The sequence below is a fragment of the Homo sapiens genome, chromosome 7 (genome assembly GCF_000001405.40).
Source record: "Homo sapiens chromosome 7, GRCh38.p14 Primary Assembly".
Taxonomy (NCBI): Eukaryota; Metazoa; Chordata; class Mammalia; order Primates; family Hominidae; genus Homo; species Homo sapiens.
The window spans coordinates 97909714-97926355 of NC_000007.14; the positions used below are offsets into that span (position 1 = coordinate 97909714).

A 16642-nucleotide genomic window follows, 5' to 3' on the forward strand; every position below is an offset into this window, starting at 1 on the left:
GAGGGTGACACAGAAACATTTCCCCCAAAACGCTTTTGGCAGCTCTGCTGATCCATAACCTGGCTCCATTTCAGGGCAAGACCTCCACTTAAGCTGCACTGGCTTCCACTAGAGTAAATCACATTAACTCATGGCAAACACAACTGAAGGGCAAAAAGATTCTTTTTAAAATGATTTTTGTCTCTCACTTACCAACACACACTGGCCTCCCTACAGCCTGACTCCATTCAGCATCTGTTCCACTGAGCACCCACTGAAAGCTCAGCTCATGAGCTGAGATGACCCAGACATCAAGGAGTTTACAATCCAGGGGAAGAACAGACCTGAATACAAGTGATGACAATACAAGACGGAGTCAAAGAGCCCAACTTGAAGTTTCAGCAGAATAGCACCAAAGACTAGTTCCCAACCCAGCTCCCAGAGCCAGAGCCAGAGCCAGGCTGGCTGCATGAGATCAGCTGGGAGCTTTTGCAAACCTAGGTCCTAGCTGAGCCCCTAATCATCAGACTGGCAGTCACTGGGAGTGAGCTCCAGGAACTGGTTTATTTAATAAGCACCCACACACACATGATTCTGATGTTCCTAAGGGTTGTAGAAACATGGAACTATAGAAAATAATTTTTAAAAAGGCACTAAAAGAAACCTATAAATATTCACTACCATCCCAGGCATCATGAGGACACTCCACGTGCACTATTTACAATACTTAGAATAACCTGCAAGGGAAGCATTCATTCATGACGATGGGCTTTATTGGGATCAGAGCCAGCCCTGGGAATGTTTGAACCTGCGCTGAAAGGCACCCCCTCCTCCCCACAGGAGGGGGCTAACATTAAGGAGCAGGGGCCAGATGGGAAATGGAGTGTCCTTTTATTATGAGACCACAGTGAGAGACTTTTTTTTTTTTTCCAGAGTCTCGTTCTTGCCACCCAGGCTGGCGTCCAGTGGTGCAATCTCAGCTCACTGCAACTTCCGCCTCCCGGGTTCAAGTGATTCTCCTGCCTCAGCCTCCCGAGTAGCTGGGACTATAGGCACCCACCACCACACCTGGCTAATTTTTGTATTTTTAATAGAGACAGGGTTTCACCATGTTGGTCAGGATGGTCTTGATCTCTTGACCTCATGATCCACCTACCTTGGCCTCCCAAAGTGCTGGGATTACAGATGTGAGCCACCACGCCTAGCCTTAGACTTTCAAGTAAAGCCACAATGGACCACAGAGCTTAGACATCAGGGCTAACATGGAATCTCTGTCATTAAATCTTGAGATCTTATTATCTTTGCTCAAAGAAAAAAATAATCACAATTGACATTTTGAGGACAAGACATCTGAATGTAAACTTGATCTTAGAGGATATTAAGGAATTACTGGTAATTTGATTAGGTATGACAATGATCATATAAAAACTGCCCTCATGTTTTTAGAGGGAAAGTAAATTACGTAGGGGTGAATATCAGGATGCAATTACATAACTACTGTAAACTATTTTGTAAATACTTCAGAAAAACAAATGGAGTAAATATTGCAAATGTTAATAGTTTTTAAATCTATGTGATGGGTATATGATAGCTCATTAAACTAGTCTCTCTACTTTTATGTTTATCGAAAAGTTTTCATAACAATAATAATAATAAAAAACCTTGGCCAGGCACAGCAGCTCATGCCTGTAATCTCAGCACTTTGGGAGGCCGAGGTGGATGGAGGACTGCTTGAGCCCAGGAGTTTGAGACCAGCCTAGGCAACATGGTGAAACCTCATCTCTACAAAAAATAAACAAATTAGTCAGGCATGGTGGTGTGCACCTGCAGTCCCAGCTACTCAGGAGGCTGAGGTGGGAGGATCACCTGAGCCCAGAAGGTCAAGGCTGCAGTGAGCCAAGGTCACGCCACTGCACTCCAGCCTGGGCAACAGACCCTGTCTCAAACAAACAAACAAGCAAACAAAAACCCTCTTGATCCCATTTCCCAAAAAAATGATTTTTTTGAGATCTTACCATCTCCTGGCTTGGTGCAGAGTACAGGAAATCAAGACAAAGTACAGCACACAAGGAATAAGGAGGGAGGGAAGCGTGGGGGAGGCTGACACTGTGGACTCTCCCAGCTCAGTCGACCCATGCGCCTTGCTTCATGGAAGAAAGGAATGGAAGATGAGTCATGCCTTCAGCACACAGTGACCTTCCTCACTAGTAAATGTGCCTCTAGAAGTGTCCAAGAACTCACTGCCAGAGCCAGGCTGCCTGCATTAGAATCACCTGAGAGCTTTTGCAAACATAGGCCCCTACTGGGTCCAAATGCATTCATCTCTTGGAGAGGAGGAGAGAGGCAGAACAAGGAAAAGGATGGGAAGAAACCAGCCTTGTGCACAGGAGGATGCTGGGACTCCTCCCGCAAGTTTAGCGCAATGCAGCCTATTTTACAAGGTCACAGAAGCTCAGAGAGGTAAACCTGCCCAGGTTCTCCTAGCTTGTAACTGGCAAAACCCGCCCAAGTCTCTGTCTCTAGAGATATTTCCACTTGCTTCAACTCTGGAGCTGTCTTAGTTGTAAAGATGACAGATTCCACTCATCACTCACTTTTGTTTGCAGATATTGCCTAAGGTCCCTTGTGAATATTTAGGTCAGGGCTGTTTTTTTGAGTTTTTTGTTTGTTTGTTTGCTTCTTGTTTTTTTTACAAAGCAATCTTGTGGAAAGAACCCAAAGTGGCTCCCCCATTTAAGACCCTGTAAACAGGGAGACGAGAGTCCTGGTCTGGTTTCCACACATTCCTTAGATTTCCCTGTGTGTAAAATCCAACAACAATCTTTGACAAATTGCCTCCCCTAGGGGAGAGATGGAGGAAGTGTTAACTTTGCTTTTTTTTTTTTTTTTTTTTTTTTTTTTCTGTTTTCAGACAGAGCCTCGCTCTGTCGCCCAGGCTGGAGTGCGGTGGTGCCATCTCGGCTCACTGCAACTTCTGCCTCCTGAGCTCAAATGATTCTTGTGCCTCAGCCTCCTGAGTAGCTGGGACTACAGGCAGACGCCACCACACCTGGCTAATTTTTGTATTTTTAGTAGAGATGGGGTTTCACATATTGGCCAGGCTGGTATCAAACTCCTGGCCTCAAGTGATCCAACCCCCTAAGCCTCTCAAAGTGCTAGGACTACAGGCATGAGCCACCCTGCCCAGCCAATTTGCTATTTTTTTTTTAATAGACAGCTTCGAGGTCCAGTATGATTTCACAGATTAGGAAACATCACAGACAAAGAAGAACACTTTGCATTCAAATAGCAGAATGTTTTCATTTTCAAAGAGCTCTCACCTGCCATCTAATCTTGTCTGCCTAGCAGTCCTGGGAGAGAAGCAGATGTGGTTTCCAATCCCACTTTCCAGAAGAGGAGACTGAGGCAGAGGCTTTGCAGATACACAGAGGACATGTGAGGACAGGTGAAGGTCATGATCATTGTCAGCCCCCTCCCCCAACTGGACATTCCCAGATCTGGTGGACTTCCAGCCAGTGGAGACAGAAAGACTGGATCACTCAACTCTGCCATGGGTGCCAGGACCCAATTTTTCCCTTGCTAACTCGGTCACCTCCTGTCTGGGATCTCCAACTACTACCCATCCCAGAAGTCTCAGCTAAAACAGCAATTCAACGGGGAACTTTTTTCTGAGGCTCCAGGATTGGGCCAGGCCCTCTCCATGGCTTTCTGCCCTTCCCCTATTGCAGAACTTAGCACTTGTATGTCACTATTGGTTAAAACATGTGCCTTTCGTATGCTCTCCATGTTATCTGCAGCATCTGCCAAGAATAATAATGAATGGTAAAACCTAATCTCTATTGAGTGTCGATGATGCACTTTTAATGTGACATCTTATTTAATCCTCACTATATCTGCAAGAGTAGAAGCTATTAATAGCCAATTTTCAGATAAGAAAATCAAAGCACAGTTTCTATAACTTGCCCAAGCAGCTAGCTAGGAGGCAGCTCAATTTGAGCCCAGGGAATCAGATTCCAGAAACCATGTTCTCAATTACTAGAGCAGATACCTCCCCAGAATCTAGTAGGTGGTTAATGAGTCTTTGTGGAATAAATGAACAGAAGGACAAGCAGTGGATGGATACATGGGTGGGTGGGTGGATAGATTGGTGGATGGAAAGATGGGTGGGTGGGCAGGTGGATGAATGAATGAATGGTTGAGTCGGTGAAGGGATGGCTGAGTGGGTGGAGAAATGGATAAGTGGGTGAGGGGGTGGAGGGATAGATAAATGGATGCACGGGTAGGGGGATAGATGGGTAGCTGAGTGAATGGGTGGATAGATGCATGGGTGAGTGGATGGATAGATGGGTTGGTGGGTGGGTAGGTGGATGATAGCTGGGTGCATAAGAGAGTGGGTTGGATGGATAGATGGGTGGGTGGGTGGGTGGATAGATGGGTAGGTGGGTGGATGGATGGATGCATGGATGGATGGATGGATGGATGGATGGATGGATGGATGGATGGATGGATGGATGGAATGGTGGATAGATGGACGGACAGATGAACAGATGGACTTGAGCATTTTTTCAGGGTCCTCCAAAGAACTGAGTGATTTCCTAGGGTGTGTCATCACCTGCAGGTGGGTGGGCAAGGGGGCTTGCCTCTGTAATACTCATGATTATGGGTAGTGCTCAGCCTTAGTCGCCACTCTCGGAACACTTTATTGGCTAGGAAAGTCAAAACTGGCATTGACAACTAGTGCAAATTACAGCTATAACTAACAGAAGATGTTGAGTGATGACAGCTGGGCAACCAATAATCAATAACTTGGCTGTGTCATGTTGCTGCCATGCTAGACAGGTAGAGCCATGGGTTCTTTGATCCCTCCATCACATTGAGGATGCTTATCAAGACTTCCCCAATCATGGGGACAGGGATCTTATCAACTACTTGCAGTTCACCCCAAAAGGCTCACCCTCTTCGTTCCACCTGCACATGACCTTCAGCTCAAAGACATTTCCAGTCCTCCAGGTGAGCCCTTCTTCCAGCCTTTGAATTAACCCTGATGTCTGCCTGCACATTAGGTATCTCACCTTTCATCACACAGGCTTTTCCAAGGCTTTCCTTCAGTCCAGCCCTCACTAAACGCTGGAACTGTTGTTGACAAAATCCAGAACAAGCTGGCTGGGGGATACAGGTGGGAAGCAGGCTGTAGTAATGGGGAAAAATTCTAAGCAATCTCGAACACAGAAAAGAAACTGAACAGGTAAGAGAGAGGCACTCAAGAGAAGAAGTGTGAATTTTGCATAACTGAAGCTGAAGAAGAGCGGGGGGCATGGCAGACCACAAGATAAATATGATATAGACTCCTTTTTAAAAAAGTATAAACACCCACCCTTTCCTACAGACAACTGTGCTTCAAATATTGCTAAGGTCTTTACTAAAGGCAAGTCAGAAAAACTGAGTATTTTATGCAATACAGTAAGAAGGCCCATAGGCAAGCATGGTCCTGACACCACCTTCTAGGATAACCCCTGGGATTCTGGCTACACCTGTCCTAAAATTGTCTCTCACTCCTGCTGTTGGAGAGCTACCATGAGAGAAGAACCATACTGAAGTGGTTAAGAGTGTGCACCCAGCGACCAGCCAGATCGCTTCAAACCATCACTATCTAATACTGAGCAAGTTACACAATGTTCCTGAGCCTCAACTTTCTCATCTGTAAAATGGGTATGCCGTCATTCATTAATCAAATTCTAGGTAAGCATATACTAAACACCAGAGACACAAATGAGAATCACGAACAGGCATGGCCCTGGCCCTCACGGTGACCACAGTCTTGAAGGGGAAGGATGACACGCACAGAAACAGGAAGCCGTAGCTGAGCTAGTGTCTACCACAGAGAGGCACCTGGTGTCATGAAAGCAGATAACAGGGGGTTGCTGTGACTGAGTCAGTGTGGCCAGGCGTCCCTGAGGATGTAGTGACTCCACTGTCAGATGAGACCGTGACCAGGTGAAGAGGCAGGGAGAGGGAAAATCTTTCCAGGAAGAAAGAGCCCGATATGCAAAGGCCCTGTGGCAGGAAAAGAGCAAAGGAAGTTCAAGAGCCTGAAAGAGGCCAGAGAGAACAAGTGAACATGTGGATAATCACAGCACCGACCTCATACAGGACTTGCAAGAAATCGAGACCCTCTCTGTAACAGATTCAGCAATGACTAAATAGAAACTATCTCCTAAAAGCACACGATGAGGCTCTTCGGTGGTATTTCCCATGTGAGGCTGCCATGGACTCAGAGGCCAAGTTCAACCTGCCTGTAGACAACCTCCAAGCCAGCTGGACACACATACACCCTCAGGCTCAGGATACCCAGGACAGAGTCCTAGATGCTTGAAGTCATGATAAGTATCCAGAATGACACAGAATTCCAGCCAGGCATGGTGGCTCACGCCTGTAATCCCAGCACTTTGGGAGGCCGAGTTGGATCACCTGAGGTCAGGAGTTCCAGACCAGCCTGGCCAACATGGTGAAACTCCCTCTCTACTAAAAATACAAAAAAATTAGCTGGGTATGGTTGTGGGTGCCTGTAGTCCCAGCTACTCAGGAGGCTGAGGCAGGAGAATCGCTTGAATCTGGGAGGCAGAGACTGCAGTGAACCGAGATTGCACCATTACACTCCAGCCTGGGCAGCAAAAGTGAAACTCCGTCTCAAAAAAGAAAGAAAGAAAAAAGAATGACACAGAATTTGCTAAAGGGGGAGAAAAGGTTTTCTTCCAAAGCTGGGCCTGGTTTCTACAGAGTCTTTCAGATGAAAATTAAGCAACTCTTTGCAAGCAGCTCTTTGCAAGCACCTCAGAGGAGAACCCCTCATGATGGATCAGGCACACAGGCGGATCCAAGACAATAGGCTGCGTGCATGTGAACAAGCCTATGGTGGAAATGCAGTGCTTTATTTATTTGGGGTGGTTTAATCACCAGGAGGGAGAAGCTTCCCAAGCAGCATTCAGAGGTGGCTGTTGCCTGGGTTTTCTGGAAGGGGGAGGCGGTGAGGATGAGGGCTTCCATTTCATCTGCAGTCCCCTTGCAGAAGGATCTGGGGAAAGCTTTGCAGCCATCTGCACACTGTTTGCCATCTTGTCTGGCTGGGCAGCCGAGCTCCAGATGGGGGCGGATGGGATAGCTCCTGCCACCGTATTTGGAGAGAGATGGCAGGGAAGTCAGACCCTATGAAGAAGACAGGAGCACACAGGTGCTGGACAGTGCTGCCTAGGCCCCTGGGGCTGAAGTGTCCTACCCCACAGTCTCTAGGTGCCACTAAAGTGGCCCGAGAGGATCTTCTCTGTCCATCTCCATCCTGGCACCTACAGACACTTGGAGAGTCCTTCACATGGGAACTCATAAATGCACACTCATAACCCCCACACGGAACTCTCATACATAGCAAGTGAAAAGACAGGATGCCAGTTAAACTTGAATTTCAGATAAACAACAAATCATTTTTTAGGGTAAGCAGGTCCCAAATATTGCATGGGATATATTTGCACCAAAAAAAAAAAAAAAAAAAAAAGGTTAATGAGAAATTCAGGTTTAATTGGACTTCCTGTATTTTACCTGGCAAGCCTAACCCTGCATAAACACAACCTCGAGCTTGAAACTCACAGAGAAGCCACGGCCGTGCTCACACACGTGCACAAGCCCATATGCCTTACAGAGTCAAGGGCTGTGATGAGGGTTCCCACACTTGCACACTTCCCTGTCCTCTGTCTGGGCTCAGAGTAAACAGAGGGTCACCTGGCATCCAGGTCTAAGCTGGGCTTGGAGGTGTCCTAATGAAGCAGGATGCTGACCTGCACTTCCCCAGCTCAGCCGGGGCTGCAGCCAGGCCTAGCTTCCAGTCTCGGGCCTAGAACACACAGCACAGCCCCAGACCTTGGCAAGAAGTCTTCATCTCAAGGGCCACTGGCTCAGGACCTATTAGAAGCCCCACTTCTTTCCTCTGTTTCTGCTGCCATTGCCCTAGTCTCTGACCCTGACACTCAATCACTCTATAAACACAGCAGGTACTAGGGGTGGCTCTGGGCTTGGCACTAAAGACAATGCCCCTGGTAAAGCCACAGTCTAGCAATGACAGTCAACCACGTATCAGCAACAGCCCTGCCCTACACGTGCTGACTGCGCACAAGGCCGGCGCTGTGAACGTGCTCTCAACAGTGATCTCACTGAACCCTCATGGCAGCTCTAGGATGCAGACAGTAGCATCACATTAACCCCATTTTACTTTTGAGGAAACTGAGGCCTGAAGAAGGCAAATGCAGGCCTCGAGATTTGCAGTAACATTGCCAGGATTGTTTGAGAAAGCAAACTTCTCCAGAGTGAGGCAGTCTGCCAGAGCTCAGAAGCCAGAGTCCCTGTTAGCAGGGGCTGGGGGGACTGTGGGGTGGGGGCAGACAAGCAGGTAGGGGCTGGACCCCCCAGGACACCAGGGTGCAGACTGGTGTGAGTAAAAGAAAGAGAGGCGGTCGTGCCATCATCTGCAGAAGATGATGTCTACACAGGACAGTACCATGTGAGCCCTTGGGGAGCCGGATGACTGGATGGAATTTTGCACAGGATGCAAATTAAGCACAGATCCCCCTCTGACCTAGACAGCCCACCTCCAGGAACATCTCACAGAAATGCAGGCACAGAGCACCAAGTGATGTGTGTAAGGAAATCCATCAGAACACCGTCTGTGATTGGGAAAAGGCGGAAACCATCCAAAGACGTATCGGTGCAGGGCTGGTTAAACGAAGCGTGGTGCATCCACACGTCAGAATAACTGCTGGGAGAAGAAGGTGGTACCCAGGTTCCAACGTGAGACAATGTCAAAGACATGCTGCCTGAAAAGCAGGCTTTCCAAAGAATAAATATAGCATTATTCCATTTTTACTTTTTAAAAAAGGTTACAATAAACACATATGCAAATACATGTGCTTGTGTGCACAGAGGAAAAAGGTGTGGACAGGAACAGAAAACCAAACTCTGCGGGTTCTCACTCATAAGTGGGAGTTGAAAAATGAGAACACATGGACACAGGGAGGGGAACATCACACACCGGGTCCCGTCGGGGGTGGGGAACAAGGGGTGGGAGAGCGTTAGGACAAATACCTAATGCATGCGGGGCTTAAAACCTAGATGACGGGTTGATGGGTGCAGCAAACCACCATGGCACATGTATACCTATGTAACAAACCTGCACATTCTGCACATGTATCTCAGAACGTAGAATAAAAAATAAAAAGAAATCAAAGAAAAAGGTGTGGAGAGGTATACCCCAACCCTTCCCAGTGTTACCTCTGAGAAGCAAGATCAAGAAAAGCAAATCAAGAGGATGTTTTGTTTTTTGTTTTCTACATAAATATTTTTTTTTTGGAAACATAGTCTCGCTCTATTGCCCAGTCTGGAGTCCAGGGACACAATCTCGGCTCACTGCAACCTCCTCCTCACTGCAACCTCCTCCTCACTGCAACCTGCTCCTCACTGCAACCTGCTGCTTCTGGGTTCCAGTGATTCTCTTGCCTCAGCCTCCCAAATAACTAGGATTACAGGTGCACACCACCAAGCCTGGCTAACTTTTGTATTTTTTGTAGAGACAGGGTTTCACTATTTTGGCCAAGCTGGTCTCGAACTCCTGGCCCACCCGCCTTGGCCTCCAAAAGTGCTGGGATTACAGGTGTGAGCCACCATGCCTGGCCTGCATTGCTTGAATTCTCAGACCCTCTCATCTGGTCCAATTGCAAGAGTCCAAGGCAGGAAAGGCAGAAGGCAGGGGCTTACCCCTCCATCAGGACAACATAGGACAGAGTCAAAAAAGAAAAACATGAATGGATCAGTCAAGAGGGCCGTGCACATGCCCTCCCAGGCACCTACACCTTGCAACTTAAGCCGACAAGCTTTCAAGCCACAGAGTCTTCCTTCCTAGAGACTAGCAAGGACACAAGCCCTGGCCAGTCCCCTCCAGGAGGATGGTCTGAGGGATAAGGTGGGGTGCACAGTCAGGGGTGGCAGGAGGAAAGGGGGACAAGAAGCCAAGGAAACCAGGGCACCCCATGCTTCCAGAAGGCAACTAGAACAGGGCGCCACACAGAGCCCCTGTGTACCTGTTTCTACAACAGCCTGAACACAAGGAAAAGGAAAGCAAGGAAAATACACAAAGCCCAGCCTCACCTGGAGCAGGTTAAATAAAGGTGTGTGACTTCATGTCCTTTGGAATTGGAAATCCAAGCTTCCTCTTCTGTGCCTTTAAGGTCCTGGCTACTGCCCCACAGCTCCCTTCTCTTCCCTCCTCCTCTTGTCCTGACTTTTTTTTTTTTTTGAGATGGAATCTTGCTCTGTTGCCCAGGCTGGAGTACAGTGGCACAATCTCAGCTCACTGCAAACTCCACCTTCTGGGTTCAAGCAATTCTCGTGGCTCAGCTTCCCGAGTAGCTGGTATTATAGGTGTCACCATGGCCGGCTAATTATTGTATTTTTAGTAGAGACAGGTTTTCACCATGTTGGCCAGGCTAGTCTCAAACTCCTGGCCTCAGGCGATCCGCCCACCTTGGCCTCTCAAAGTGCTGGGATTACAGGTGTGAGCCACCATGCCTGGCCCTCTTGTCCTAACTCTGCCATCTCTTGGCAGTCTCCCCTGAGCAGCTTTTCCTGGGCCCGTCCTGCCCCCCTCCAGAGCTGTACTCTCAAACCACCCCCCAATGCCCCCCGGCCCTGGCTCCTGCCCCGGGGCTCTGATCCTCAGCTGGTGAGGTCTAGAGGGTCAGAGGGAGCCAGACTCCCTAGAGAAGGCAGGAGCCCTGTGCTTAGGCAGGAGCTAAGCTAAGCTAAGGCAGGAGCCCTGTGCTGCACTGTGGGTAACCTGCCCCCTTCCAGCTGGGGCCAAATAGAAGGGGGAAAGGCTGCCCCCAGAATACAGGGCTCTCAGAGGCCCTGGGGATCTGTGCTGGCAGTCAGGAGGACTGTCACCTCAGTGCAGTTGCCTGCAAGGAGGGCTGTGTAGGAAGCTGCATGTTGCTCAGAGAACAAAAAAAGGAAATTAAATGCACCATCTGGTTATTAGCAAGAGCTTTTGAGACAGACACTTAAATATGCATGCCTAGACATTATAAAACTTGGGGGAAATGTTAATTTCAATAACGCCACTTCTTGTGCTTGCAGAAACCATTCTTTTTTCTCCCTTCCTAGTAATTTGGGGGCTCCATCCCTCAGAGTGGCAGCGCCAAGACAGCCGGCCTCACTGGGTTTTGTAAGCTGTGTAAGGTGAGATCCCAAGCCCTTGCCTGGAGACCCATCTTAGGAAAATGTTAGAACAGGGCAACAAGTTGCCATTTCCTCCCTCCTTTCTCTTCCCCATACAAAAATCAGAAAGCACACTAGCCCAGTGCCCAGCCACAGTGGTGAGGAAACCCCACTCAAAATCCTGGGTTGTGCCCCTGATGCCAAAGATCTGCAAAATTGGGACTCACCTGCTGCAACCCTAGCCCAGACTTGTGTACATTTCAGGGGTGGCTGGACTCATGGCTGCCTGGGACGTCAGGGTGGTACAAAGTACTCTTAATCTAAGACTGTCGGGGTACAAAGATAAGCATTTTTTTCCCTTTTCTTGAGAGCCAGATGGTAAATAGTTCAGCTTTGCAGGCCATAGGTCTCTGTCCCAACTATTCAACTCTCTATTGTAGCAGGAAAGCAGCCACAGACAATATGCACTGAAATGGGTGTGGCTGTATTCCAATAAAACTTTATTTGTGTGAACAGGCAGGGGGCTGGTTGTGGCGTGTGGGCTACAGCCTGCCTCCTCTGCTACAGCATGATCTCCAAGGACCGATCCATCTTGTAGACCAGCAGCTGGCACACAGGAGCTGCTCAGATACTTGAAGGAGGAATGGAGAAGGCAAGCAGCCCCCAGTGTGCAGACGTGAGGGTCTCCCAGCAGCACCATCCTTTGCCATCTCATGCCGAGGGACAAAGCCAGAGCAGGGCTCTCCACCAAGGCTGGGCTCTCCTCCAAGGAAATGTGATAACAAGACAGAAAGCACTGTGGAAGGATAGGGGCTTTGGAGTCCCACAAACCACAGTTTGCAAGACCAGGAGCATCCTGCACTTCCTTGCACACATCCTGGGTGGGTGCCGGAGCATCTAGACTTAGAGTGAATCTTTTCCCCCTCCTCCCCCAACTGGTCTCCATTACACTTCCAGCAACAATGTAGTGTACATACACAATGGAATACTATTCAGCCTTCAAAAAGAAGGAAATCCTGCCATTTGAGACAACATGGATGAGCCTGGAGGATATTATGTTAAGTGAAATAAGCCAGGCACAAAACGACAAATACCACATGATCTCACTTATATGTGAAATCTAAAAAAGTTGAACTCGGCCAGGCATGGTGGCTCATGCCTGTAATCCCAGCACTTTGGGAGGCTGAGGCCAGCAGATTGCTTGAGTCCAGGAGTTCGAGACCAGCCTGCATAACATAGCAAGACCCCATTTCTACAAAAAAATACAAAAATTAGTGGAGCGTGGTGGTGCATGCCTGTACTCCCAGATACTCAGGAGGCCGAGGTGGGAGGATTGATTGAGCTTGGGAAGTCAAGGCTGCAGTGAGCAAAGATCACACCCCTGCACTACAGCCTGGGCAATAGAATGAGATTGTCTCAAAAAAAAAAGGATGAAAAAGAAAAGAAAAAAGTTGAATTCACAGAAGCAGAGTAGAATGATGGTTGCCAGGGTGGGGAAGTGGGCAGATGCCAAAGGACACAGAATGTCATTTTTAGAGAGGAAGAATAAGTTCAGGATATCCATGGGACAACATGGTACCTATAGTTAATAACAACATAACATACACTTGGAAATCACTAAGAGAGCAGATTTTTTAAGTGTTCTCACCATAAAAAAATAAGTCTGGGAGGTGATGTTATTTAGCTTGATTTAGCCATTTTGTAACGTATACATACTTCAATCACATCATGTTGTACCCTCTTGTACATAATTTTTGTCAATTAAATAAATTCAACAACTCCAAAAAACAAGACATTCTTTTTACAAAATAATTATTAAAAATAAAATTCAGAATTCTATTTTATTTATTTATTTATTTTTGAAACAGAGTCTCGCTCTGTCACCCAGGTGGCTGAAGTGCAGTGGTGTGATCTCGGCTGACTGCAACCTCTGTCTCCCAGGTTCAAATGATTCTCCTGCCTCAGCCTCCCAAGCAGCTGGGATTACAGGTGTGTGCCATCACACCTGGCTAATTTCTGTATTTTTAGTAGAGACAGTTCCGCCATGTTGGCTAGGCTGGTCTCGAACTCCTGACCTTAGGTGATCCGCCAGCCTCGACCTGCCAAAGTGCTGGGATTACAGGTGTGAGCCACTGCGCCTGGACAGAATATAAAAGATTGTTTAATTCAACTAAAACATTAAAACATAGATTATTTCTATAAGTGGTAATTGTTCTAACACGTTTTGGTCAAAATAGTCTCCTTACTCATCCACAATTAAGTGGTTAACTGACATTTGATTGGATTTTGATAAAGTTTTCAAATCATGATTGACTTTTCCAATGTGTTTGAAAATATTTCATAAAAATTAATATTTAAAAATGGTCAGGCATGGTGGCTCATGCCTGTAATCCCAGCACTTTGGGAAGCCAAGGTGGGCCGATCACTTGAGGTCAGGAGTTTGAAAGCAGCCTGGCCAAACCTCATCTCCACTAAAAATACAAAAGTTAGTCAGGCATGGTGGCACGCACCTGCATTCCCAGCTACTTGGGAGGCTGAGGGAGGAGAATCCTTTGAACATGGGAGGTGGGTTCCCCAGGCTTAGAGCAAAACCCCCATCTTGTCCGTCTCCACTCTCATCCCAGGCAATCACGGTCATTTCCACAGCCTCAACCACTGTCTACCTGGGATGCCTCCCAAGCCCAAGTCTCCAGCCCAAACCTGCCTTCCTAGCCCCAGACCCATCTGTCCTGGCACACGTTGCCCCCTGGGTCCCAAGCAACCTCAGCCAATGAGTCCAACGTCAACTTCCTGTCCTTGCCTGACACTGTCAGCCCTGAGATCAGACTTGACCATTCACCTCCAGTACCTGATAGGTCCGTCAGTCCTTTGGAACATATCCCACGAATATTCCCTAAACCAGGCACCGGACTCCACACATCAACACCGTCATGTGAGTCACCAGCATCCCTGGCAGGGACCCCTGTCCCAGCCTCCAACTCATCTCCTTCCTGTCCCTTGAGTTCTGTGTCACATTCCAGAGGCCACAAGAAGAAAAATGACAACCTTAATGAAATTAAAAGAATTGAGAAGACATTTCCCTATGGTCCAAAGTCTTTCCAACTGAGAAACACATATCAAGATCCGGCCTGCCAACCCTGCGGTTAAATGTTCCTGAAATAATTAAAGCCCAGGGCAACACAGCCCGCACTCCACAAGTACTCCCAGCACAGTAAGACTTGCTTCTCTGGAGGGGCTTGAAATGTCCAGTGTGTACCCTGCCCCTCTCTGTCGTAGCTAACAGGAATGTGCTTCATGTCTTCTTCCTGCTCAAAGGACTGTCCACCAACATGCGCAGGTAGCACTTTCGGCCAGGGGGGGATGCGAGAACTTCCCACCATTTCCCACTTATGCACTGCATTCCTCAGGAGCCTGCCTCACAAATTACAAGAGCGCCACGGCAGACACACCACGTTCCAGTGGGTGGCCATGTCTTCATGTCAGCTTGAAAGATCGTCACCAGGGAAATATCTATATCTCGGCAGAGAAAGCTTCAGCCTGTGTAGTCCAGCTGTGCTCAAATGGAAATCCAGAAACCCAGATGTTGGTCCAAACACCCTGTCTCGGACAGCCAGCTCTGCAGGTCCCCAGCGTGGGAGTGAACTGGGTGGGCCACCTACCCTGCCTGCCCACATCCCTGCTTCCTGGAATCCTGGACCCTGAGAACCAGGGGGATGTGGTGGGGAACAGGCAAGTCTTGTGCAGAAAGCCAAGATGCCACCCAAATCCACTCTGCAGTCTAGGTGGGTGATATTCTGGTCTGCACCACACCAGTGCATGAGGGGATGGAGGATGGAGTCTAGACAAGCCAAATGTAAAAAGATATTGCCCAAGTATTTTGTGCTTTGTCTGTGTTACAATGCTATGCCCAGCCCAGCGTGGTGGCTCACACCTGTGATCTCAGCACCTTGGGAGGCCGAGGCAGGCGGATCACCTTAGGTCAGGAGTTTGAGACCAGCCTGGACAACATGGTGAAACCCCATCTCTACTAAAAATACAAAAATTAGCCAGGTGTGGTGGTGGGCACCTGTAATCCCAGCTACTCGGGAGGCTGAGGCAGGAGAATCACTTGAGCCCAGGAGGTGGAGGTTGCAGTGAGCAGAGATCATGCCACTGCACTCCAGCCTGGGCAACAGAGTAAGACTCCATCTTTAAAAAACATAAAAATAAATAAATGCTATGCCCAGCATTTTCCATGTACTGTCTTATTATCTCAGTAAATCCCATATAACCTTCCTATGAAAGTGTATCTCATTTATCTCCATTTTATAGATGAGAAAACTGAGGTCCCTGGAGTAGTATTAATTTTCCAAGACCGCATTGCTCATAAAGGGTACAGCAGGGACCCAAGCTCGACACTCTCACCCTCAAACATTTCCACAAATGTAGACCAATGGCTCTCAACTGGGGTGGTTTTGCTCACGTACCACTCCCTTGCTCCATGACATTTGAAACCATCTGGAGACATCTGGGGTAGCCATAGCTGGGAGGGTAGAGTGGCACCTAGAGGATGGAGACCAGAGATGCTGCTAACCATCCTACAATACACGGGACGGCCCCACCACCACCACCATGAATGGTCTGACCCCAAGTGTTGTGACTGTGCCAAAGCTGAGAAACCCAGGTTTCTCCTCAGCAAGAAGGGAAAATACCTGCAACGTGGATGCACCTCTACAGGAGCCCCAGGCTGACAATAACCTTCCTGATCTGGTTTCAACCCTGGATGCTTTTACCTGGTGCGTTAATCAGGGATTTCAGGGACTCCAGTGAGTTATCACCCTTGAATGCTCGGTTCTGCCTGACAACCCAGAAATCTCTGCCGAGGTGCCTGGTCTTGGGGAAGGCTGAGCAAATGGTTGAGGTTGATAACCAAATACCTAGGAGAGACTTGTCTCCCTCCAGGAAGAGCTGTTGGTCAGACACACCCTGGGATCATTCACAAGCGGTCAATAAAGGCTTGGGGAGGGCCAGGTTTTCTAGGCGTCTTAATGGGATGGGTGTTTATGGATACACAAGAAGCCTGTGAAACTTCTGATATTGGCAGGAAATCAATGCCCCCCACCCTCCACCCCCCTGCCTCCCCACCATAAACACATGCCCTGCAGCAGGACTTGGCACTCAGGGTCTCCTGGGGTCCCGATTTACCTGCTAAAACATCCTTTAGCCAACACCGAATAAAGCAACCCCTTGCCACCCAACCACGAGATCACAGCCTGGGAGCCACTCCAAGGGACATCCAGTCACATTAAAACCTCAGCCATCCAGAGCACCAGGCCTGGTGATGAGAAAGAACATTTTATCCTTAAAAGCATCTGAATGCCCATGCTGCTTCTTGCAGAGAAAAGTCCAAAATAATCTGCTATTAAAGAAT

The 16642-nt window shown here is 48.2% G+C and overlaps 1 protein-coding gene and 1 long non-coding RNA gene across 2 annotated transcripts in view, besides 1 other annotated feature; both read right to left on the reverse strand.

The window, feature by feature from the left end:
- ASNS (asparagine synthetase (glutamine-hydrolyzing)) overlaps positions 1–16642 on the reverse strand; it is a 76765-nt gene that overhangs the window by 58037 nt on the left and 2086 nt on the right. The gene's annotated exons all lie outside the window — the stretch shown is intronic.
- Positions 1–16642, reverse strand: part of CZ1P-ASNS (CZ1P-ASNS readthrough) — a 120242-nt gene that overhangs the window by 57597 nt on the left and 46003 nt on the right. The window contains exons 4-6 of the long non-coding RNA NR_147989.1: positions 3300–3391; positions 1995–2123; positions 193–323 (exon numbers count right to left, since the gene is read on the reverse strand). This is a non-coding gene — a long non-coding RNA (CZ1P-ASNS readthrough). The remainder of the gene's footprint in view (positions 1–192; positions 324–1994; positions 2124–3299; positions 3392–16642) is intronic.
- Positions 5783–5842: an enhancer, noted in NCBI's record as "active region_26303". NCBI's record gives its function as "activates an Ori minimal core promoter by ATAC-STARR-seq in GM12878 lymphoblastoid cells {active_cell/tissue: GM12878}" and the evidence as "EXISTENCE:reporter gene assay evidence [ECO:0000049][PMID:35858748]".